Raw genomic sequence first — 23,198 nt, 5'->3', positions numbered from 1 at the left:
TGAGGTCAGGAGTTTGAGACCAGCCTGGCCAACACAGTGAAACCCCATCTCTACTAAAAATACAAAAAAAATTAGCTGGGTGTGGTGGCGTGCACCTGTAATCCCAGCTACTTTGGAGGCTGAGGCAGGAGAATCGCTTGAACCCAGGAGGCAGAGTTTGCGGTGAGCCGAGATTGCACCATTGCACTCCAGCCTGGGTGAGAAGAGCGAAACTCAAAAAGACAAAAAAAAAAAAAAAAAAAAGTTTATTTTCCCTCCTCTGCATGCCTATAAGCAGCATCTGTGAAACCTAACAGACCTAACACAACGGCCTCTTACAGGAGGTGTCAGTCAACTAACATGTATTTGTTGAGCACCCACTAAGAGCCCTACATAGATGTAGGAGATCCTAGAAGTCTTGTAGTTTAGTTAGAGGCCACCCAGTTCTGAAACCGGGGCTAGTGAAGTGCAGAAGCCTTGTTTGGCCATGTCCAGTGAGGCCAGCAGGCAACTACAAAGCAAAGAATACCTCTGTCCCCCACTTCCCCTATTATGGTGACACCAGTTTTCTAGTTCGGTGAAGGTTCCAAGGTTTTCTACTCAGAAAGGCACAAGAAATAGGATGAGGGATGGAAAGGATTAGGAAAGAGTTCCCAGCCACACACAGTGGCTCACACCTGTAATCTCAGCACTTGGGGAGGCTGAAGCAGGAGGATCACTTGAGGCCAGGAGTTTGAGACCAGCCTCGACAACATAGAGAGGCTCCATCTCTACAAAACAAACAAACAAAAAACAAGGAAAGAGTTTCATCATGGATAAGGCAGGCTCCTCTTTGGAAAGGTCAGCTGAGGCCTCAGAATAACACTTCCCCTCCCCCAGCACTCTGCCTCTGGCACCTCTGGAAGAGGGTGGTTCATATCCAACCTCCTGGCAGGGAACTGTAGACTGAGTCAACAACATTCAAATCTTGAAAAAATAAGCAAGAGTAGTGGGGGGCATAGGTGAAAAATAGTAAAGAGAGGAAAGCCAGAAACAGTGAGCCAGGGAACAAGGGGACGGAAGACAGGATCCAGGCTGTATCTACGGAGAGACACAGAAGGGAGATGCTGCTGCTGCTGCTGCTGCTGCTGCTGCTGCCGCCACTAGTCCTCAGGGTTGCTGCAAGCCGATGTCTACATGATGAGACACAGAAGTCTGTGAGCCTTCTCAGGCCCCCTTTCTCCCAACTCCCCTCAAAATCTCGCTCTTCCTCCCTCACCCTCCCTAGCTCCCGTGATCCTCAACCCCTACGAATCCAAAGCTGCTATCTAGGAGATCATATATCAGATGGAGCTTGGGATCCTGAGGGAGAAGGGATGAGAGGGGGATCCCGAGCCCTGGCCGCAGTGAGAGAGGCCACTCAGCGAATCCAGGCTGTTCTAGCAGGTGAGTGAGGGAACAGAGGTGTCAGGGAGGGTTGAGGAGCAGAGAGGTCCAGGGGAGGAAGATCAGCCCAGAAAGAGAACTGGAATTCCAAGATATGGGAGAAACTGACTTCTTATCAAGTCCCTCCAGTGCAAGGACCCCTGCTTCTGAGTCGAGACCCTGCACAGTATTGCCACGCTGTCTGGGGAGACCCAGATAGCCCAAACTACCACAGGTGAGTTCACGTCGTTGACAATGTATGTAATTCTTTTTCAGGGATACCTAGAAATGTCCTCAGCTCACCTACAGATCTTCATTCTTATAGGTGCAGCCTCTTGAACCCAGGATACAAAGGAGAGAGTTGCCTGGGGGCAAAGGTGAGATTGAGTCAACAACACTGAAATCTTGAAAAAATAAGGGTGGTGGGGGGATACGCAGAGAGATAGTAAAGAGAGGAAAACCAGAAATAAGTACACCAGGGAAGAAGGGGACGGAAGACAGGATCCTGAGCAGGCTCACCTCTCAGTCTCAGGGATCTGGAGATCTGCAGCCTGCCATGACCATTCCAAGACCACCACCATCAGAGTTACTTAGTGTGCTTAACGATGTAGATTCTTGAGCTCCTCTCCCTGCTAAAATTTATTAAATCAGAGACTGGGGGTGAAGGGGCAGAACTCTATTCTAGCCAGCTGCCTAGATAACACAAAGACAGACCAAAGAGATTCATTCTCCCCTACTCCTCATACCCAATTTCCTACTGTTCCAGCCCCTCTGCTAATGCAACATTTCACTCCCTGCCAGATTCCTGACACCCATCTTCGCGGTTATGCCTTGTGGCCGGAGCAGGGTCCCCCACAACTGGTCCAGCCAGATGGGCCTGGGGTCCAAAACACTGATTTTCTCCTGTATGTGCGAGTTGCTCACACTTCCAAGTGCCACCAAGAGGTGAAGTTCAAATCAAATTTCCTTTCCCTGCTGTCTCTCTCAATCTTAAATCTCATGAGGAGGGTTAGGGAGCATAAAAGCAGTTTTGTTTTGTTTTGTTTTGTTTTATTTTGCTTTTGTTTTCAGACAGTCTCACTCTGTTGCCCAGGCTGGAGTACAGCGGCCCAATCACAGCTCACCGCAGCCTTGACCTCCTGGGCTCAGGTGATCCTCCCATCTCAGCCTCCTGAGTAGCTAGGATTACAGGCATGCACCACCATGTCCGGCTAATTTTTTGTATTTTTTTTTGTAGAGACGGGGTTTTGTCATGTTGCCCAGGCTGTGTCTCAAACTCTTGGGCTCAAGCAATCTGCCCACCTTGGCTTCCCAAAGTATCAGGATTACAGGCGTGAGCCACCATGCCCAGCCAAAAGCAGTTTTTATTAAGTTGTGCTTATTTGGGATAACTTAGGGAATGCTAGTAACGTTTGGGTAAAGGCTACCCCCACCCACAGCCATCCCTTGATACCACTCCTGCAGAGTTCTGCAGAGTCCCCTGGTCCTCCATTTTCAGAGGACTTCTTCTACTTGTGCTACCCTATTTTTCTCCTTTCTGGCCCTACCCTGTCCTGGCCCATCCACAGCCCTCTGTCATAGCCTATGCTGCCTGCTGCCAGCTGGACTCAGAAGACAGGCCCCTCGCTGGTACCATTGTCTACTGTGCCCAACATCTCACCAGCCCCAGCCTCAGCCACAGTGACATCGTCATGGTGACTGCTGCATGATGAATAGGGAGAAGCAAACAGGTTGCAGGGTAGGGGGCCAGGTTACTCAGTTTCCCATTAAGTCAAAGAACCCACAGAGGATGGAATAGAAGGTGCCTCAAACTCTAGGAAGAGCTGATTGGGCAGAGGGGTTATAGAGTGTTTGGTCAATCCTGCTGCAAATTCGGCCCCCTTACTGGGCTGTCATTTGTCCTTAGGCCACATTACATGAATTGCTCCATGCCTTGGGTTTCTCTGGACAGCTCTTCAAGAAATGGCGAGACTGCCCCTCAGGATTCAGTGGTAAATGAGAGGAATGAGGTTAAGGACTTTCCACCATCAACCAGAGGAAATTCACTATCTCATAACGTCCTTCCTTCTAATTTTACTTCACCCTTCCTAAGTTTTCCTCTCCTCGTACTGCCTTCTTCCCTTTCTGCAGTTAGAGAGAACTGTTCTACAAGGCAACTAGTGACAAGGCAAGATGAGTGGGGACAACTGCTTCTCACCACCCCAGCTGTTAGCCTCAGCCTGGCCAAACACTTGGGAGTGTCGGGGGCTTCCCTGGGTGTTCCCTTGGAAGAAGAGGTGAGAATGAGAACACCTTGGGGTGATGGAAGAAAGGAGTAGCCAGCTAACAACCAGCCATCTGCCACCTCCTCCAGGAGGGCCTTCTGTCCTCGCACTGGGAGGCCAGACTACTCCAGGGTTCTTTAATGACTGCTACCTTTGATGGAGCCCAGCGCACTCGACTCGACCCAATCACCCTCGCTGCCTTCAAAGACTCAGGCTGGTACCAGGTCAACCACAGCGCTGCAGAGGAGCTGTTGTGGGGCCAGGGTGAGGAATAAGGGAGACCTGCAGAGAGGCACTCATGACCCAAGTCAGCTCTGGGGGAAGTGGGAGGCTGGAGGGGTGTCTGTTGCTGATGTATAATCGAAGCTGTGAGGATAGCTGGTGCTGAAGGATGTTTGGGCTTCATTTGCTGAGGGCTCTCTTTCCTTCTCATCTGTCAAGCAGGATCTGGCCCAGAATTTGGCTTGGTGACCACATGTGGGACTGGCTCCTCAGACTTCTTCTGTACTGGCAGGTGTGTGTGCTGAGTGGTTAGGGGACTGTATGGCTGCCAGTGATTCTAGTGTCACTCTACCATCCATTCCACACAGTGGGCTGGGCTGCCACTACCTGCACCTGGACAAGGGAAGCTGCTCCTCAGACCCCATGCTGGAAGGCTGCCGCATGTACAAGCCCTTAGCCAATGGGGTGAGTAGATAAGAGAGCAGACAATGAAACTGAGTGGGTCTGGAAGGCAGTCAACTTCAAAGGCATCAGAACAAACACTATTCTACTTCTGACCTGCCCTTCAGAGTGAATGCTGGAAGAAGGAAAACGGATTCCCTGCTGGGGTGGATAATCCCCATGGGGAGATCTACCATCCCCAGAGCCGTTGCTTCTTTGCCAACCTCACTTCACAGCTGCTCCCTGGGGATAAGCCCAGGCATCCTTCTCTTACCCCACACCTCAAGGAAGCAGAGCTCATGGGCCGCTGCTACTTACATCAATGCACAGGGAGGGGAGCTTACAAGGTGCAGGTGGAGGGCTCGCCTTGGGTCCCATGCCTTCCTGGAAAGGTTATACAGGTGGGTACCATAAGAGTAGTAGTTGCAGCATACTGGCAAAAAGAAGTCGGGAAATACTTGTATGGTGGTACTGTCCAACCTGTTTTGATGTGCATACAGTTTTCCTAAGTACCCACTGAGTCCATGACTCTGATCTAGAATATACATTTTCCTTAGAAGGAAGACTTGAACAGGTAAGGCAAAACCATATCCTGCTACCTATTTCCTTGCAGATACCTGGGTACTATGGTCTTCTCTTCTGTCCCCGGGGTCGGCTGTGTCAGACTAATGAAGATATCAATGCTGTTACTTCCCCACCTGTGAGTCTTTCAACCCCAGATCCACTATTCCAGCTCTCTTTAGAATTAGCTGGGCCTCCAGGACACTCTCTGGGGAAGGAACAGCAAGAAGGGCTAGCTGAAGCAGTACTGGAGGCTTTGGCGAGCAAAGGCGGCACTGGCAGGTAAAAGCTTGAGTATTTATACAATGGGCCAAGGAGAATCCCTAAGTCCTTTACTTTATGACTCTCCTCTGAAGACTTGTTCATCCCACTCTTAAGCCTGCATCTGTTTCATGAGATATACTCTGCCAGGAACTATATCTCTATTAAAAGATTCAAATGTCCATTTAGGTGCTATTTCCATGGCCCATCAATTACCACTAGCTTGGTGTTTACTGTGCATATGTGGAAGTCCCCTGGCTGCCAAGGGCCTTCAGTTGCTACACTGCACAAGGCCCTGACTCTGACTCTCCAGAAAAAACCCCTAGAAGTGTATCATGGAGGAGCCAACTTTACCACACAACCCAGCAAGTAAGATATTCCAAGTACTTTCCTTTCAAATCCATGGAGTCCGGATGTTTGAAATTAAATTTATTAAGCACTCACTCACGTGTATATTGTCCTAGACAGGGTTGCGTTTCAGAGAACAAAGATCCCTAACACGATCATCCAGTCCCGTCACTACCTGACTCCCTCCTCCCATACAATAACACATTCCCCCATCTCTAGGACATAGGGATCTTAGTCCCCTCCCCCCACCTTTTTCTTCTTCTTTTTTGAGACAGGGTCTCGCTCTGTCACCCAGGCTGGAATGCAGTGGGGTGATCTCAGCTCACTGTGGCCTCGACCTCCCTAGGCTCAAGTGATTCCCCCACCTCAGCTTCCCAAGTAGCTGGGACTACAGGTGCACACCACCATGCCAGCTAATTTTTGTATTTTTGATAGAGACAGTTTCACCATGTTGCCCAGGCTTGTCTCCAACTCCTGAGCTAAAGCAACCCACCGGCCTCTGCCTCCCAAAGTGCTGGGAGCCACTGCCACCACTCCCAGCCCCCTTCCTTTCTTAAGCACTGTTAGGGATTGTGTCTAGCTACCTAAAGAACATAGACTGACTCTTCCCTTAAGCCACTTCCCTTGCTGCCAAGTTAGGTCTTCTTCCAATAATATAAGATGCTAGAAGACTTAGATCTTGATCTTATTTCTACTTTAAGGTTCGATAGTCCCTCTTAATGATTTCCTGTTTAGCTTAATGCTTGGATGAGGCGGGGCTTCATGAGCTCTATCTTTAAGGGTAAAGCCCCTTAGCCAGACGTGGTGGTGCGGCGTGCGCCTGTAGTCCCAGCTATTCGGAAGGTTGAGGCAGGAGAATTGCTTGAGCCTGGGAGGCGGAGATTACGGTGAGCCAAGATCACACCACTGCACTCCAGCCTGGGCAACAGACCAAGACCTTGTCTCCAAAAAAAAAAAAAAAAAAAGGTAATGCCGCTTTATCTACTAAGGCTAGGCATTATTCCATGCCAAATATTACCTTCTATGTTCCTAGGTTGCTGGTTACTTCAGACCATAATCCCTCCATGACCCACCTAAGGCTGTCCATGGGACTCTGCCTAATGCTGCTAATCCTGGTGGGTGTAATGGGAACCACAGCCTACCAGAAAAGAGCCACTCTTCCTGTGAGACCATCTGCCTCTTACCATTCACCAGAGCTCCACAGCACAAGGGTCCCAGTTAGAGGAATAAGGGAGGTGTGATGTTGCCCAGAACATGACAGGGGGTAAGGAAGAGAATAATTTCTTGTGAGACAACTGGATGGAAAATCTATTGTGTATACTTAATTTCTACTTTCTTTGGAATGCCTCTTTCCCCGGTTGTCAATATTATATAGCCTGGCAATGAAAAAAGGGTGAAGTTTTACAGTTCTAAAGATCCATTCTTTATTTTGGTACAAAAATAAATTGTTCAACCTGTAAATTGTCACTTATTTTCGTATTGTTGTAAAGCAAACTTACAGAATAGGAACACCTGCTACCAGTTCCAAGAATATCACATACATATGCCTTAGAAAAAGGCCAGGTATGATGGTTCATGCCTGTAATCCCAGCACTTTGGGAGGCCAAGGTGAGAATGGATCGCTTGAGGCCAGCAGTTCAAGACCAGACTAGAAAACGTAGCATGACCCCTGTATCTACAGAATAATTTAAAAATTAGCCAGATATTGTTGTGCGGGCCTGTAGTCCTAGATACTCAGGAGACTGAGGCAGAAAGATTACTTCAGCCTAGAATTTGAGGTTACAGTGATCTCACGCTCACTGATGATCATGCCACTGCACTCCAAACTTAAGTGACAACCCATGTTTTTAAAAAAAAAAAAAAGTCACCGCGAGTTCGATTCAAACAGTGTGAAGGAGGAAGCAACTAATTATCTCCCTCTCCTGATTTTTCATAATTTTATTAAATCATCACTGGGAAAACTAATGGTTTGCGTATCACACAATTACACTACAATCTGATAGGAGTGGTAAAACCAGCCAATGGAATCCAGGTAAAGTACAAAAACGCCACCTTTTATTGTCCTGTCTTATTTCTCGGGAAGGAGGGTTCTACTTTACACATTTCATGAGCCAGCAGTGGACTTGAGTTACAATGTGTAGGTTCCTTGTGGTTATAGCTGCAGAAGAAGCCATCAAATTCTTGAGGACTTGACATCTCTCGGAAAGAAGCAAACTAGTAGACTGATGAGCTGGATTGCTTAGATTGATAACATTTACAAATAGGAGTCCAGTTGACATGCTATTAATGTTGAAATAACCATGCCTGTACTGGTCAGTGAGTTCGGTCAGCTGGTTGGAATACCAGTTCCAGAGCTTTAGGCGACACATTTGAATTGAGTTATCATTGTAGAGAGTCATGGCTCCATCAGCTATGGTTATCTTCTTTGGTCTGAATGCCTATCAGTCCTTACCAGCTGTAGCAGCCACTGCTTGGTAAAACTTTGCCACGAAGTCTGGCTCACTGAACTCCAGCTGTCTGACAAATTCATTGCGCTCCTGCTCAGCCCAGCCTCGAAACCACTGATCCCAAAGATGTAGCTGGCACTCAAAGATAGAAGGTGGTCGGTCTGCCCCAGACACACTAAGCTGCTCCAGACTATCCAGCAGTGGTTGTAATTTTTCTGGCACTGCCTTAGCTACCAGGTCCTCTAGGAAACGTTCACGCTGGGGACCTGACCAATTGGCAAACCAGTGAAGAATACACTTCATCTCCTGGGAGGTGATGTAAGACATCAGAGGAGGGGAAGGGTTAGTATTGTGTGGTACTGAGGGTAAGAGAGATGGGAAGGATAGTGGCATTGAAGAGGATGACTCCAGTGGCATCCTGAAACATAAAAGCACTGTTATATGCTCTCCAGGTAGAGCAACGAAAATACAACTTTCAAGCAACAAGACATCTTACCACACTCAATTAGCATCTACAGAGAAAATTACTTTTTATGAATTCAAAGACCCAAAATAATAAGAGTCCTTTATTTAGATTATTATCCAACTACCTTAGAAAAATCACCAAAAATAACTTCATTTCCTATTTGCCTGCCTTTTTCAAACCCATTCTTCCCCACCCACTGTCTTCCTCCATCTTTCTTATAAAGAACCTAAAAATAACCAATATATTTCTTGTTCATTCTCTTCCTCTTACTTCTATGTGCCAGGTTGGGTAAAGAAAAAAACAATGATTAATGTTGGTCCATTACATCTTCTCCAAAATGAAAATGCACACATTTTAAAATCTAGTACGTGCAGCTGGTCAAGGCTGATGCTAATTGTTTTGCAGCTATCAACAGTGGGGGAAGAAAGAAAAAACATTATTTATGATGAAAGAGCCTTCAATGTGCATATAAGCCTCTGAAATATGCCAACAACTCCATAACATCCGTTACCTCCTTACATTTCCTGTAAAGCACCAGGAAAAGTTAAAAAGCAGAGTAAGGACCTTGCTCAAAATAAGGTAACGCATGAAAGAACCAGAAGCCCGGGTGTTTGAGACGTTCTTAAAAAAGAGTCCAGTTGGTTTGTTGGCTTAGAGATCTAACAAGTGTTATACTATTTTATGACAATCCATGTCTTTAAACAATTGTCCTTAATATTTAGTATGGGCCAGACGCGGTGGTTCTTGCACTTCCAAAGTAATCTCAGCACTTTGAGAGGCCGAGGCAAGAGGATCGCTTGAGCCCAGGTGTTCGAGACCAGCCTGGGCAACATGGCAAAACCTCATCCCTACAAAAAATAAAAAAATTAGTTGAGCGTAGAGGTGCCTACCTGTAGTCCTAGCTACGTAGGAGACTGAGGTAGGAGCATCACCTGAGCCCGGGAGGTTGAGGCTGCAGTGAGCCCTGATCGCGCCACTGCACTCCAGCCTGCGTCAGAGTGGAGGGACCCAGAGTGGAGTGACAAAAAAAAAATTTTTTTTTTTTTTTAGTATGGTATCTATTGGTGCCTTGCAATTTTTTTTTTTTTTTTTTTTTTTTTTGAGACGGAGTCTTGCTCTGTCACCCAGGCTGTAGTGCAATGGCGTGATCTCAACCACTGCTTCCTGGGTTCAAGCGATTCTCCTGCCTCAGCCTCCCGAGTAGCTGGGACTATAGGCGTACGCCACCACGCCCGGCTAATTTGTTTGTATTTTTAGTAGAGACGGGGTTTCACCATATTGGCCAGACTGGTCTCCAACTCCTGACCTCAAGTGATCCGCCCGCCTCGGCCTCCCAAAGTGCTGGGATTATAGGCGTAAGCCACCGCGCCCGGCACCTTGCCACTGATTTTGCATCATGAATGCAACGGAAAGATCAGCCAATTTGACTTTAATAGTTTTCAGTCTCTTAAATCTCTAACGTATCTCTTAAATCTCTAAACTATTTGTCTGTGACCTATTTTACTGTTTGTGTTTCTTCTGCATCAAGTTGGAGGATTGGTAGTGACAAAGAAAGAAGCCCCTAAACAATTAATATTAGTTCAAGTACCAAAAAAGTTCAGGGCGCTTGCATTTTCCAGTTCTTGCCCTACAGGAAGCAGTTCCTCCAAGGGAACTTACTCTCTTCTGCGGAGCAAGGAAGAACTTTCCCAGAATCTTGCCACATGGCTTCCAAGGCAAACTCAAACTCAAGTTCAGCGTCATAGATCAGTTCATAGTCTGGGTCCGAAGACACGGCGATGCTTCTTGCGCACCCCCACGGAGCTTGTTATTCCGATTCCGCACCAGCCCCCCGCCCCTCCCCAAAAAAAGCCTAAGATGGGAGTGGCTATGATTCAGAGGACAGAGGGCAGAAGCTGTTTGCGTTAAGGAGTGGGGGGCTTGCCCTATTAAGGTAATCCGCAAACACCGAGTCTGACCCGGCCCATAGAGGTACTTCTACCCCGCTTACCTCCCCTTTTCTCTCGAAGGGCACCCGAAGATTGTCACGAGTCCTTAGACTCCAACTACTGCGGCAGCTTCCAAATTTCCTGAAAACCCTAAGCTGGGCCAGCCCGGCAGCCCACGCACTTCCGGCCTCGGACCCGCCCCAAACACCCAAGCGCCCCAGCGCCTCATCTCTAGGTCCGGAAATAAACGAACATCTCCGATTATGGTTATACCAGGGTCGAGGGTTTCCGAATATATTCGATTCAAAGCTTCGGCAAGACGAAGAAAACCGAGCCTGAAAGCAGGGCGAGAAAAGGGGCGCTGCAGGGCGGATGGAAAGAATTGATTGGTAACGATGTGGAGACGGAAACATCCGAGGACATCCGGAGGAACCCGGGGAGTTCTGAGTGGTAATCGAGGGGTAGAGTATGGCAGTGGGCGGGGTCATCTCGGTACGTTCGAAGGGCGTTGGCGGAAATTACCGAAGATGCCCGAAGCCGTCGGGACGGACCCGAGTACCTCACGCAAGATGGCGGAGCTGGAGGAGGTGACTCTGGACGGGAAGCCTCTTCAGGCGCTGCGGGTGACCGACCTGAAGGCCGCACTGGAGCAGCGAGGCCTAGCCAAGAGCGGGCAGAAGAGTGCCCTGGTCAAGCGGCTCAAAGGGGTGAGGAGTCGGCGTTGCTGGGGTGTCGGAGGAGAGCGGACCCGGTAGAGACGAGCCTCTGCCGCGGCGCAGGCGCAGTATCCGGGCTCGGCGCGAGCTCGCTCAGGCCGCCAGCGCGAGCCTCTGGATCCGCGCGCACGGTGGTTGATGAGGTTCGCGCTGGAATGGAGATCGCGCCGGTTCCCGCCTTAACGGCAGCAGCGCGAGCCCAAATGGGAGGGTGTGCACTACTCTCCAGGAGTGTCTTAAGCTCCTTCCTCCTTCCCCCACCCCCTCCTTGTTTGTATCTGTGGTTTCGGCGCATGCGCTGCAGAAGGAGTTAAATCCCACTACAACCTACGGCGTTGCTGGCCTGAGGGGGGCGAGTTGGGCTGGGTCGGAGTTAGGGGTATAGTTGCGCGAAGGGGTGGATGGGGTTGGTATCGGTATCTGCACGAATAGGACTGGGGTAGGGTAAAATGTCTGCTCGATTAGATGAGGAGGTGAGATGAAGAGAGACCTTTATTTGAAGGGACTTGATGAGAGAGAGGTCTCTAATTTAGTGGCATCTAGTGGCAATTTGGGTGGTTAAGAGTTTGGTGAATATTGGTGAGAGAGGCGAGGCAGGTTGATATATATTGGGGATTTTGAATCGGTTTGAGTAGATTAAGGTGGGATTGTCATGAGGTAGGTGTAGCTCGATTCAAGTGTATAGGTTTGGTTTAAAGAAGGGAAGATGAGGATGTCTTGGTTTTAATTAGAGTTCAACAGGATACGTGGCAGGTAGTGCAGATTAGGTCTGGGTTGGCTCCAGGGTTGAGTTGGCAGACCGTTGCTTATACAGAAGCTGATAGTTTTGTGTGTGTGTGTTTGTGTGTGTGTGTTTGTGTGGATAGACTAGGTTAGACCACAGTTTACAGGGTCTGTGGTCATTTTCTTCTGTAGCTTCCTCTTTGAAAATTTTATAAATTTGATAAATCTAGGTGCCACAGTACTGGAAATTATACAAATTGACCCTGGTACTGGGTAACCCTTTGACCAAGTAATTCCGTCAGGCAAAAACCAGGAGCCCCATGGCTGGTTTGAGTATTTTAAGTAATTTTACATGCATGATCAGATTTAGAAGGGGCACTTGGCGAAAGTGCAGAAGATAATAGGGATTTTAGTACTGGTTCTATTACTGATATTATGACATAGCCAGGTCACTGATTCTGTGTGCCTGCATTTTATATCTGTACATTTAGTAACAGTAACCATGGCTACCTTTATGGGTCTTCTGAAGATGAATGAGAACAGTGTTAGTAAAGGGTTTTCAGGTCCCTGGAAAAGGAATACAGTTTAATTGTGTGTATTTAAGTCATTGCGTTTAATTTAGAGGTTGTGGTAGAGGTGGGGGTTTGTTTTTCTTTTTTTTCCTCATCATTTCTGACTTTTACCCTTCTCTATACCAGGCTCTAATGCTAGAAAATTTACAGAAACACTCAACACCCCATGCTGCATTCCAGCCAAATTCCCAGGTGAGAAAGAAGGTGTATTCAATGGAGTGGGCCCTTTGGATATCCAGACACATGGAAGGACGTGGTGTTGTATATTTGATGCTTAAGTCCTCATGACTGTTTTCCTAAGTTCTCTTAGTCAGAAATGTTCTCAAACCAGGACAGTTGAATTCTAATCAACCCAGTTGTATACAAGGGCCTGGAGTAAAGAACAGAATCAGAGGCACTGTTAGTTTATAATAATTGAAATGGCATGTGTAGAAAGGTGTGGCTTCCATTAATTACGTGTAGTACAGAGATCTGAAGTCATTTATCTGCCATGAATTTAGGAAAGGTAGTTGATGTCTTTGAGTATAGATATGAAGTAGATCACCAATATGGCAGTGTAGGGAAATAGTTGCTGATTAAGAACTCTTGTTGATGTAGATTTTCCAAGGGTTCAATCCTGTGTAAGTCACCCACCATTACTAGTGTTAACTACTAACTCAGTGCACTTACTCATAAACATTACTAATACCTCTTTACTTAGGATAAGAAACAACCTTTGGAGGCCTTGGTCTTCTCCATTTCCTTATCTGTAATATGAGAAACAGACTAAACCCATGGGTTTATAACTGTTCTCTTAGGGTTTTGTGGAGCTGCTTTGGGGAGCTTCCTAGGGGAAATACCTTTTTCCCAAGTAAGCAAGGCTCATACTCCTCTCTTAAACTAGATTAGATCTACTTTTTAACTATTGAGTTTCTGCATAAAATTTTTAAATTATTCCACAGTTAAAATCCAAAAATTATTAGGCTGCACAGTCTCTTAAAGTTTCTTTCAGCTTTTAAAAATCCCCTCATTATAATGTGTCATATACTTAAAGGAAAAATCCAAGTCTTTGTTAAAGCAATAGTGTGCAGCCTCAGTACTAGATGAAGTCTCAGGATACTGTGGAAAACAAGAGAGCCCTCCTCCTCCTTTGTTATCACCTCATTAAGCTGTAAGTATCATAATCTAGCCAGCATTCAGAGGTTCAATTAAGTACTTTAACAAGCATAAGAAACTGCATAAGTTAATCAGCTTAATTGTATTCCTTTTGCCCATTGCATGTTAGTCTTTGAAGCTTTGCTTTTATTAACACCGGGTTTGTGCAGCAAACATGCCTATTCTGTAATACACATGCAACCCACCCTTCAACAATGTCCATTGAGTGCCAAGAGACTCATTTCTACTTTAGGTGAAAATAAACCTTTACTATGTTTAGGAAACATGACTAATAACATAGAAAGTATTCAGGTTTTTTTGCTTTTTCAGTTCTAAATAGGACTTGCTAAGCAAGAAGGTTCTAGGGAGGAGAACTTGTGAAGAGAAAGCTGGAGGTCAGAAGGGCAACTTGGGAATCTGTATTACAAAAAAAAAAAAATAGGAAAAGGCATAAGCTCCTGTTACCAAGGATTTCCTTTCACCCAGACAAAATGGAGTTATAACTTTGTCTAAATGCTGAATGGATATCCCTTTTCTTAGTCTCTTGATTTCATACTTTTAAATACTATACTTGAATTTTGGAGTTGTTTGATAAAATGTTTCCTGGATATGAGGCCGGGCATTGTGGCTCACGCCTGTAATGCTAGCACTTTGGGAGGCCAAGGCGGGTAGATCACCTGAGGTCAGGAGTTTGAGACCAGCCTGGCCAACATGGCAAAACCCCGTCTATACTAAAAATGCAAAAATGAGCTGGTTGTGGTGGCACATGTCTGTAATCCCAGCTACTCAGGAGACTGAGGCAGGAGAATGTCTTGAACCCAGGAGGCGGAGGTTGCAGCAAGCCAAGATCGCGCCATTGCTCTCCAGCCTGGATGACAGTGATAGTCCGTCTCAAAAAAAAAAAAAAAAATGTTTCCTGGATAGGTAACGGTTGATCTTTTGGAGGAACTGGCTTTTTTTTTTTTTTTTCTTGAGATGGAGTCTTGCTCTTTAACCCAGGCTGGAGTGCAGTGGCACGATCTCAGTTCACTGCACCCACCACCTCCTGAGTAGCCAGGATGACAGACTCACACCACAATATGCCCACCTTTTTGTATTTTTGGTAGAGACGGGTTTTGCCATGTTGCTGAGACTGATCTTGAACTCCTGAGCTCAAGCAGTCTTCCCACTTCAGCCTCCCAAAGTACTGGGATTACAGACGTGAGCCCCCATGTTTCAGTCTTGATACTACCAAAAGGAAATTTTAGATTACCCTTTAGATAATGTTCCACGTAATCTAGGAATTTAGCCTAAAAGATATAATTACAGGAATTTTAATTTAAGGTTATTTGTGGCTGGGCACGGTGGCTCACACTTGTAATCCCAGCACTTTGGGAGGCTGAGGCGGGTGGATCACTTGAGGTCAGGAGTTTGAGACCCGTCTGACCAACATAGTGAAACCCCGTCTCTACTAAAAATACAAAAATCAGCCGAGTGTGGTGGTGCACACCTGTAATCCCAGCTACTCAGGAGGCTGAGGCAGGAGAATCATTTGAAGCCAGGAGGCAGAGGTTGCAGTGAGGGAAGATCACGCCACTGCACTCCAGCCTGGGCAACAGAGTGAAACTCTGTCTCAAAAAATAAAAATAAAGAATAGTAATTTGTATACCAGTATCACTCTTTGGGAACTGAATATTTAAATCAAAAACTTATGTGCAGCTCTTCTTTTTGCCCTTTTTTTGTGTGTGACTCAAGGCTATTCTGTTCTTCAATATAGAACTAACTTAGAAAAAAGCCTTCCAACATTTTAGTTATCTTTCTTGGGCGCAACTATAAGGAGTGGACCTTTGCTCCATGGAATGTTCTTCTTTGCATTCTCCTGGTTTGTTTTCCTAGACCCTCTGTTTTCATTTCCTCTACACAGATTGGTGAGGAAATGAGCCAGAACAGTTTCATAAAACAGTATCTGGAAAAGCAGCAGGAGCTACTTAGGCAGCGTCTGGAACGTGAAGCTCGAGAAGCTGCAGAACTTGAAGGTAAGCCCAGATTGTCACTTTTAACAAGGAGTTCGTCATTCTTATCCCTGTCACCAAGTAGATAGGCCTGTCTAACTAGACAATTTCAGAAATAAGTGAGGCTGAGACTGCTACTTACTTGCTTTCATAGCCCATGAAGCCAAGTGGTTTACTATTTACTTTTGTCAGGGAAGAGGACACTTAATTTGACTGTCTTGTTAGAAGAGGATTCCTGCCAACAGGAAGAGTTATAAGTAAATTAAGCTACCATTTAGATGAAGTAGAGCTGAATCCCAGGGAGTTTTTTCTTTTTATACGGTGCTCTTTTTGGTATGTATCTCTGTATCTGTGACTTTGCCTGACCTCCTTCACTCCTCTACATATTCCTACATGCTGAGTCCTTCACTCCCTCCCTGCCCCGACCCGATCTGTACTTTGCAGAAGCTTCAGCTGAGTCGGAGGACGAGATGATCCATCCTGAGGGAGTGGCTTCCCTGCTGCCTCCTGACTTTCAGAGCAGCCTGGAGAGACCAGAGCTGGAGCTCAGCAGACATTCGCCCAGTACGTATCTCCCTCCCCACTGCGCTGTTTTGTCAATCCTGCGTAGTTGGTGGGGGGAGGTAGTTACACCTCCTTTCATGCTAAGCCTCCATGAAAGTCCCAGGGAAATTCTGTGACATTGATATTTGACATCTGTTTCTCATGGAAAGTATACCCTTTTTGAAGTCTGCTTTCACCTATATATTGTGTTACCTTCTCAGTGTTTTACGAAGCAGTGTGATTTTTCTTCTCATCTGTACCTCTTCAACTCTTCTACCTCTGAATTTGGCAACAGTCAGCTCTTTTTCATCTCTTCACCAGTTGTGTATATTACGTGTTAACACATTCAGTCACCCTCTGGAGTTGGGTATCTGCTGTGGTTTAATCAACAAATTTTTATTGTGTACTTGTTGTATACCAGGCACATGCTAGGCACGAGGAATATAGTAAAGAAAGAAACAAGTCTCAGCCCCAAGAAACTTAGTCTAGTGAGGACATGGACATTAGTTACAGTTGTTTTGGCTACTGTGCAAGGCAACGCAGAGTATTATGTGAGCATATTATAGTAGGGAGCTCTAACCTAGTATATGGGATTGGTTCAGGCAAGATTAATTAATTTCTTCACATTATAGAAAATATTAAGCACCCAGACTGGGTGTGGTCGCTCACGCCTCTAATCCCAGCACTTTGGGAGGCTGAGGCAGGAGGATCACCTGAGGTCAGGAGTTCCAGACCAGCCTGGAAAAACCGTGAAAAAGCCATGGCAAAACCCTGTCTCTACTAAAAATATAAAAATTAGCTGGGTATGGTGGCAGGCACCTGTAATCCCAGTGACTCGGGAGGCTAAGGCAGGAGAATCGCTTGAACCCGGGAGGCAGAGGTTGCAGTGAGCCAAGATTGCACCATTGCACTTCAGCCTGGACAATAGAGCGAGACTGTGTCTCAAAAAATACATAAAATCATAATAGGCACCCAATTTTGCATAATATCTCAAGCAAAAGTCTATAAATATAGCCTTTGTCTTTTGGGAACTACCTGTCTAAGTCAGTATACTTTGAGGAAAATATGTGCAGGTTGAGCATGCCTAATCCAAAGACCCAAAACTTTTTGAGTATTCACATGACACTCAAAGGAAATGCTCATCAGAGCATTTCAGATTTTGGGTTTTCAGATTAGGGATGCTGAATCAGAAAGTATAATGCAAATATTCAAAAATCCAAAATCTAAAACACTTGTGATCCCAAGCATTTTGGAAAAGGGATACTTAATATGTATATAAGACATGTGGATTGTTAGTACATATGTTAAACCAATGTGTAACTTAACAAGTATTTTGAATAATTAGTGTTGAGGGGGATGCGGAATCCACCATAATCAGTGTTTTTAGGATGTATGGAGGTTTCCAGCTCTTCTGATTAATACAGAATTCCTTCATGGACTACACTTGATTTTAGTTAAAAGGCTGAGCAGCGATAGACTCTTCATGGAAATAGATTTTTTAGGAGACATTTAATGGTGGGAAAGAAATTTTCCAAAAGGCTAGAGAAAATAGAGAGCCTTTGAGTCTAGTTTTAAGGTCCTGTTTTACTCAGTCCCTGTTTTTCTTGATCCTAGTCTTAGACCCAGAAAGACATTTCTAGAAATCTTTTAGTAAGAAAATACTGGCCAATACTTTGGAATTATTAAGTTCCTTAGGGACCTCTTTTCTCCTGAAATACGAGAGTAGTAGACCCTCAGCTGATCCACTTTGCTCCCTGCGCCCTTTCCCCCTTGATTTTAAAGCCGAGAGGAAAGAGAAAGCTCTTCTAAAATTGTCGGTATTTCTTCTCACATAAAACAAAAAAAAATTTATTGAATTCCTACTGCATACATATCTCTGTGAGAGTATATTGGGAGTTAGCACAGCATAAAGTCTGTTAGGAAGAGAGAACAATTACACATAAATCGAACAACAGAAGATAGTATGTGACAATGATACAGACATAGGGAACCAAAAGAGTGGAAGAGCTCTGAGGACTACAGTGATTAGAGAAAGCCTCATAAGGAGATACAGGATTTGAGCTGAGCCTTAGAAATGGTTTGGCAGAGAGGATACAAGAAGATATTTTTAGGAAGGAACAAAGTCAGAGAGATAGGAATGAAAATGGTATTTTTAAAGGAGAGGTAGTAGACTAATCTAGCCAGAGTAGAGTATTTCACATTCAAGAATAGTCAGCAAAACAATTTAAAAGGTAGATGAGGGTGATACACAGAGGGCTTTAAATGCCAGGCCAGTAAGTATGAGGGTTTTTTTTTTAGTTCTATAGGTAATGGGGGAACCATTGAAAATTCTTAATAGGACCATGATTTGATAAGGACCTCTCTTTAAAAAGAGAGGCTGTCAGTTCTTAATATAATTCGAAATGAAAATGAGAAATGATTTCTGAAATAGATTTCAAAAGCAAAGATTTAGAGTAAGGGTAGCCAATCTTTTCAGTGCTTTATGTCATCAGTAAGACCCTGCCCATGGCTAATGATTGATGGAGGAAAAAAAAAACCCCAGACGTTAAAAAAAAAAAAAGGTGAAAAATAAATTGGAAAATATGAATGTGGTAAATTGTAGAGTACTGCTCATAATTGCCGTAAATGCTCTTCAGTGTCCTTTATGCCATAAACTTTTCTACCTCTGATCTTGGCTTAGATAAGAATCCCATTATAGATGTTGTACAAAATTTAGTTAAGGTCCTGAATGGAGTGGCCATTTGGAATTCTATCAGTGCTTAGTTGAATCAGCATTAACCCTAGTGTTTGTCCAGAAATCAGATTCTTCCAGGTATAGAATCTCAGTCTGCCATATGCCAGTATGCCATTGCAATGGCAGCTTATTTGTTGGCTTTGAATGTTTTGGGGTTCTCTCTTGAATAACAATTTTTGATTAAGTTTCCTACTAACATTTTTCTAAACGCTACTGGCACCTGAGGGAGATTTTTTATTTGTTTTAATATTACTATGTTTAAGAATATGGATTCCTGGCCCCTACCCAAAGAATCTCAAGGAATGGGAGTCCTGGGGCTCTACATTTTTTAAAAAGTCCCTGAGTGGTTCTGTTGACCAATTCATTTTATGAATGACTAACTGAAGGAAGAGTTTTTCAGTGTTATAATTTATCAAGATCTTTGGTTTATATTCCAGCATCCTCCTGTTTATATGCTATTGGCAAAATTCCAAATAGGAAGGAAGAATTGGTTTGTCCAGGTGTGGTGTCTCACACCTGTAATCCTAGCACTATGGGAGGCTGAGGTGGGAGGATCTCCCAGGAGATTGGCCTGAGCAACATAGTGAGTCCTATCTGTACAAAAAAATAGAAAACATTAGCTGACTGTGATGGCACATGCCTGTAGTCCCAGCTACTCGGGAGGCTGAGGTGGGAAGATTGCTTGGGCCCTAGCAGTCAAGGTGGCAGACAACAGAGTGAAACCATGTCTCAAAGAAATAATTGGTTTATAAAATCCTGTCTGACTTTCCCTCTTATGTCTCCATCACTTTCTTCAGATATTTCTAAGGTGTTAGGACTCATTATCCACCTACCATAGTCATAAATTGTCTGAATTTCCTTCTATATCATGACTGTGTGTACAGAAATTCTTACCGTCCTTAATTTTTTCAAAAAGAGCTCAAACTAAGAAAATACATTTTTAAATGCATATTCAGAATATTGATTCTTTAACAAAGGTGATTTTAGCCAGCCTTTGGCTTATAGAGTATGCCCCTCATTCCGTTTTCTCCATATTAAAACCTGGATGCGGAAATTCTAGAGAAATGCTAGGTAACTTACTTACAGGTCTAACATGAGTCAGATTTAGGTTTGGCATTGTTTCCAGGTCTGTATTCTCTTCATTCCTGCTTCTTATTCACACCTAAGGTTACCTTTTAGCCACAGGCTTTTCTTCGATCTCTGGCTTCCTTACTTTGGTCCCACAAATCCTACCCAGGAATTTGTTTTCTAGGATGAAGAACTATTTCCTCTATAACCCTTAAACATTCTGCACTTTAATATATCCTGCATTGTCTAGCAACTGCCTTTTCCTTTCTGTGAAGCCTTCTGGCTTTGGACTCTTGGAAATCTAATATTTACCCTGACTTGTTTTTCGAATCCTGAAATGTATTTATTAGCCTGTTATCAGTATCAGCTCCACCCTTAGCTAAAGCGCTCACTGTCTACACGTGTTACTAACATCTGGCCTAAGACATTCATTGTGGCCATGTTCTTATAATAGAAGATATCACCTTTTTCAGAAGTTTGTCTGCATCACATCAGCTCTTTCCAAGGAACTAGAGATTCCTCATCTCTTTATATTTTGCATTGCTGACTAATTTCTTGTTTCATGTCTGAGGCGCCTCCAGTTTCTGCTTTTATTGCAAAACAGTGATGACCAGAACTTTCTGAACAGCCCTGTTCATTTCTCCAGATCTCTTTGATGACTTACTACAAGTTCTTCCAGAGGAGTAATCATCCAGAAATCCTATCACTGCAGTTTTACAGTATCAAAAATAACATTATAATTCAATAAATAGCATATAATTCACAGTAGGTAGATAAAGAGGCTGTTTTGCTTGTACATACTAATTTTAAAATTGCAACTCAGTTATTTGACTTTGTTGTTGTTGTTCTTGTTGTTGTTGTTTTTTGAGATGGAGTCTCGCTCTGTCGCCCAGGCTGGAGTGCAGTGGCGCGATCTCTGCTCACTGCAAGCTCTGCCTTCCAGGTTCACGCCGTTCTCCTGCCTCAGCATCCCAAGTAGCTGGGACTGCAGGCACCCGCCCCCACACCCGACTAATTTTTTTTTTTGTATTTTTAGTAGAGACGGGGTTTCACCATGGTCTTAATCTCCTGACCTCGTGATCGCCCACCTCGGCCTCCCAAAGTGCTGGGATTACAGGCGTGAGCCACTGCGCCCAGCGTTGACTTTAACACATTTATCTCTGACCAACCTTGCACTTGCCTTTTTTTTTTGGTGTGTGTGAGATAAATCAGCTTCTTTCACTGATACTTGTGAAGGAACTTTGCCTAACATTTATGAAAACTTTTTATTTTGGTTTTACTTATTTTATAACTTAGCCTATTTCAGATCACTGAATTATGAAATGAGTATTTCATTTCACTGCACTACTGTCTTACAGATGTCTTCAAATGTTTGCTAAAGAGTCTGGCCTTTCACTATATATTCTAATCATATATCCTGTATGAACAACCATAACACAAATCTTTCTTCACTTACCCAGATACGAAATGGTATATACTCAGAGGTCCTTTTAATCAAATGATCATGAAGTAAAGTTTTACAAAATATGTGTAGTCTTCTAATTGATTTCATTAGTTTCATTTTGGGTTTTTTTTTTTTTTTTTCTTTTTTGAGATGGAGTCTCGCTCTGTCGCCCAGGCTGGAGTGCAATAGCGCCATCTCGGCTCACTACAACCTCTGCCTCCCAGGTTCAAGCGATTCTTCTGCCTCAGCCCCCTGAGTAGCTGGGACTGCAGGCGTACGCCACCACGCCCAGCTAAAATTTTTTTTGTATTTTTAGTAGAGATGAGGTTTTACCTAATTGGCCAGGCTAATCTCAAACTCCCGACCTCGTGATCTGCCCGCCTCGGCCTCTCAATGTGCTGAGATTACAGGCATGAGCCACCGTGCCCAGCCTCATTTTGATTTTTTAATTATTATTACAGAAGCATTCGCCTAGTTCATTTTAGATTGTAAGGATATAGAAATAGAGAAGGCCGGGCATGGTGGCTTACACCTGTAATCCCAGCACTTTGGGAGGCCAAGGAGGGGGAGGATGACAAGGTCAGGAGTTCGAGACCAGCCTGGCCAACGTGGCAAAACCCCGTCTCTACTAAAAATACAAAAGTTAACCAGGCGTGGTGGCGGGCGCCTGTAGTCCCAGTTACTCAGGAGGCTGAGGCAGGAGAATCACTTGAACCCAGGAGGCGGAGGTTGCAGTGAACCGAAATCGTGCCATTGCACTCCAGCCTGGGCAACGAGCAAGACTCTCTCTCAGAAAAAAAAAAAAATAAGAGAGAAGATCTTGGGTTAGAGCTGCATACCATCTGCTTTATTTGCACTATTACTATACAACATGGTTTTGTGTACAGAACCTTTTGTACTGTATTAACATTGAGTCCAATCTAGCTGATCAAGTATCTGGAATATAATTATCTTCCTGCTATTTTCTAAACTGGTTCTCATTGATGTTAGTATTGCTACTGTACATAGTTGATCTTTTTTGTTTTTTTGAGACGGAGTCTCGCTCTGTCGCCCAGGCTGGAGTGCAGTGGCGCGATCTCGACTCACTGCAAGCTCCGCCTCCCAGGTTCACGCCATTCTGCCTCAGCCTCCTGAGTAGCTGGGACTACAGGCACCTGCCGCCACGCCTGGCTAATTTTTTGTATTTTTAGTAGAGACAGGGTTTCACCATGTTAGCCAGGATGGTCTCGATCTCCTGACGTCGTGATCCGCCTGCCTCGACCTCTCAAAGTGCTAGGATTACAGGCGTGAGCCACCGTGCCCGGCCGCCTAGTTGATCTTAATTCTGGTAGGAAATTTGGAAATCATCTAGTGCAGCCCCTCCTTTTTCTCAATCATGACATTTGAGACTCGGGCACAGTGGTTTATACCTTAATCTCAGCACTTTGGGAGGACCGGGGTGGGAGGATTACTTGAGCCCTGGAGGCTGAGGCTGCAGTGAGCCATGATCATGCCACTGCACTCCAGCCTGGGTGACAGAGTAAAACACTGTCTAAAAAGAAAGATATTGAGACCCAAATTACTTAAGTGATTTACCCAGTTACCTTCCTTCATGGAATTTGAGTGAAACTTTCTTTCCGTTTTACATGGATTTATTGTTCAGGATAACCTAGATTGGTGGTTTCCAAGCTTTTTAATAGAACTTTTTTTTTCCTTAAAAAAAAAAAAAATCTCACCTAGTCCGGGTGCGGTGACTCACGCCTGTAATTCCAGCACTTTGGGAGGCCAAGGCGGGGGGATTGCTTGAGCCCAGGAGTTCGAACCAGCCTAGGCAACATGATGAAACCCCGCCTCTGTAAAAAATACCGAAATTAGCCAGGTATGGTGGCGTGCGCCTGCAGTCCCAGCTGCCCGGTAGGCTGAAGCAGGAGAATCGCTTGAACCTGGGAGGCGGAGGTTGTGGTGAGCCTAGA

General features: G+C 44.9%; 3 protein-coding genes across 21 annotated transcripts in view, besides 6 other annotated features; 2 read left to right on the top strand and 1 right to left on the bottom strand.

Moving 5' to 3' along the window:
* Nucleotides 1-1,013: 1,013 nt before the first annotated feature.
* CIROP (ciliated left-right organizer metallopeptidase) lies at nucleotides 1,014-6,941 on the top strand. Of its 2 annotated transcripts, NM_001354640.2 has the most exons (16): nucleotides 1,014-1,404; nucleotides 1,534-1,618; nucleotides 1,709-1,760; nucleotides 2,185-2,328; nucleotides 2,455-2,532; nucleotides 2,621-2,716; nucleotides 2,952-3,077; nucleotides 3,290-3,374; nucleotides 3,514-3,659; nucleotides 3,737-3,911; nucleotides 4,092-4,161; nucleotides 4,238-4,334; nucleotides 4,439-4,711; nucleotides 4,924-5,153; nucleotides 5,322-5,501; nucleotides 6,514-6,941. In NM_001354640.2, the coding sequence occupies exons 1-16, from the start codon at nucleotides 1,083-1,085 to the stop codon at nucleotides 6,719-6,721; spliced, it is 2,367 nt and encodes a 788-aa protein (NP_001341569.1). In that variant the 5' UTR covers nucleotides 1,014-1,082; the 3' UTR covers nucleotides 6,722-6,941. The 2 variants fall into 2 exon arrangements, with proteins under 2 accessions (NP_001341569.1, NP_001389356.1); NM_001402427.1 differs by lacking the exons at nucleotides 2,455-2,532; nucleotides 2,621-2,716 and having other exon boundaries at nucleotides 1,525-1,618.
* Nucleotides 5,547-10,498, bottom strand: C14orf119 (chromosome 14 open reading frame 119). 2 transcript variants are annotated; one of them, NM_017924.4, is made up of 2 exons: nucleotides 10,384-10,498; nucleotides 5,547-8,345 (listed from the first exon to the last, which is right to left on the bottom strand). In NM_017924.4, exon 2 carries the CDS (start codon nucleotides 8,342-8,344, stop codon nucleotides 7,922-7,924), a length of 423 nt encoding a protein of 140 aa, NP_060394.1. In that variant the 5' UTR covers nucleotide 8,345; nucleotides 10,384-10,498; the 3' UTR covers nucleotides 5,547-7,921. The 2 variants fall into 2 exon arrangements, with proteins under 2 accessions (NP_060394.1, XP_016876879.1); XM_017021390.3 differs by lacking the exon at nucleotides 10,384-10,498 and adding an exon at nucleotides 10,053-10,370.
* Nucleotides 10,064-10,587: an enhancer, noted in NCBI's record as "H3K27ac hESC enhancer chr14:23564625-23565148 (GRCh37/hg19 assembly coordinates)". NCBI's record gives its function as "activates a minimal SCP1, AML or CMV promoter by ChIP-STARR-seq in primed H9 embryonic stem cells {active_cell/tissue: H9 hESC(primed)}" and the evidence as "EXISTENCE:reporter gene assay evidence [ECO:0000049][PMID:30033119]".
* Nucleotides 10,064-11,126: a biological region, named in NCBI's record as "hESC enhancers GRCh37_chr14:23564101-23564624 and GRCh37_chr14:23564625-23565148".
* ACIN1 (apoptotic chromatin condensation inducer 1) overlaps nucleotides 10,389-23,198 on the top strand; it is a 37,051-nt gene continuing 24,241 nt past the window's right edge. For 7 of the 17 annotated variants that reach the window (XM_047431115.1, XM_047431113.1, XM_047431114.1 and 4 more), the window contains exons 1-3: nucleotides 10,389-11,028; nucleotides 12,459-12,524; nucleotides 15,370-15,481. In XM_047431115.1, coding sequence (XP_047287071.1) covers nucleotides 10,717-11,028; nucleotides 12,459-12,524; nucleotides 15,370-15,481 — 490 coding nt within the window. In that variant the 5' untranslated portion in view covers nucleotides 10,389-10,716. Of the gene's footprint in view, nucleotides 11,029-11,218; nucleotides 12,352-12,458; nucleotides 12,525-15,369; nucleotides 15,482-15,901; nucleotides 16,022-23,198 lie in introns of those variants that run through there. The other 10 variants (XM_005267415.5, XM_005267416.5, XM_011536570.4 and 7 more) reach the window with 5 other exon arrangements.
* Nucleotides 10,467-10,676: an enhancer, noted in NCBI's record as "active region_8164". NCBI's record gives its function as "activates an Ori minimal core promoter by ATAC-STARR-seq in GM12878 lymphoblastoid cells {active_cell/tissue: GM12878}" and the evidence as "EXISTENCE:reporter gene assay evidence [ECO:0000049][PMID:35858748]".
* Nucleotides 10,588-11,111: an enhancer, noted in NCBI's record as "NANOG-H3K27ac-H3K4me1 hESC enhancer chr14:23564101-23564624 (GRCh37/hg19 assembly coordinates)". NCBI's record gives its function as "activates a minimal SCP1, AML or CMV promoter by ChIP-STARR-seq in primed H9 embryonic stem cells {active_cell/tissue: H9 hESC(primed)}" and the evidence as "EXISTENCE:reporter gene assay evidence [ECO:0000049][PMID:30033119]".
* Nucleotides 10,697-10,776: an enhancer, noted in NCBI's record as "active region_8163". NCBI's record gives its function as "activates an Ori minimal core promoter by ATAC-STARR-seq in GM12878 lymphoblastoid cells {active_cell/tissue: GM12878}" and the evidence as "EXISTENCE:reporter gene assay evidence [ECO:0000049][PMID:35858748]".
* Nucleotides 10,817-11,126: an enhancer, noted in NCBI's record as "active region_8162". NCBI's record gives its function as "activates an Ori minimal core promoter by ATAC-STARR-seq in GM12878 lymphoblastoid cells {active_cell/tissue: GM12878}" and the evidence as "EXISTENCE:reporter gene assay evidence [ECO:0000049][PMID:35858748]".

This window comes from Homo sapiens, chromosome 14, assembly GCF_000001405.40.
Source record: "Homo sapiens chromosome 14, GRCh38.p14 Primary Assembly".
Lineage (NCBI taxonomy): Eukaryota > Metazoa > Chordata > Mammalia > Primates > Hominidae > Homo > Homo sapiens.
This window is presented reverse-complemented; position numbering and strand designations above follow the sequence as displayed.

Excerpts from the sequence above, each read along its gene's own strand:
- CIROP (NM_001354640.2), top strand. The coding sequence starts at position 1,083 with ATGCTGCTGCTGCTGCTGCTGCTGCTGCTGCTGCCGCCACTAGTCCTC. Across the intron at positions 2,533-2,620 it reads CCTTGACCTCCTGGGCTCAG|AGACGGGGTTTTGTCATGTT; the intron begins GTGATCCTCCCA and ends TTTTTTTTGTAG. Across the intron at positions 3,660-3,736 it reads GTGTTCCCTTGGAAGAAGAG|GAGGGCCTTCTGTCCTCGCA; the intron begins GTGAGAATGAGA and ends CACCTCCTCCAG.
- C14orf119 (NM_017924.4), bottom strand. The coding sequence starts at position 8,344 with ATGCCACTGGAGTCATCCTCTTCAATGCCACTATCCTTCCCATCTCTC.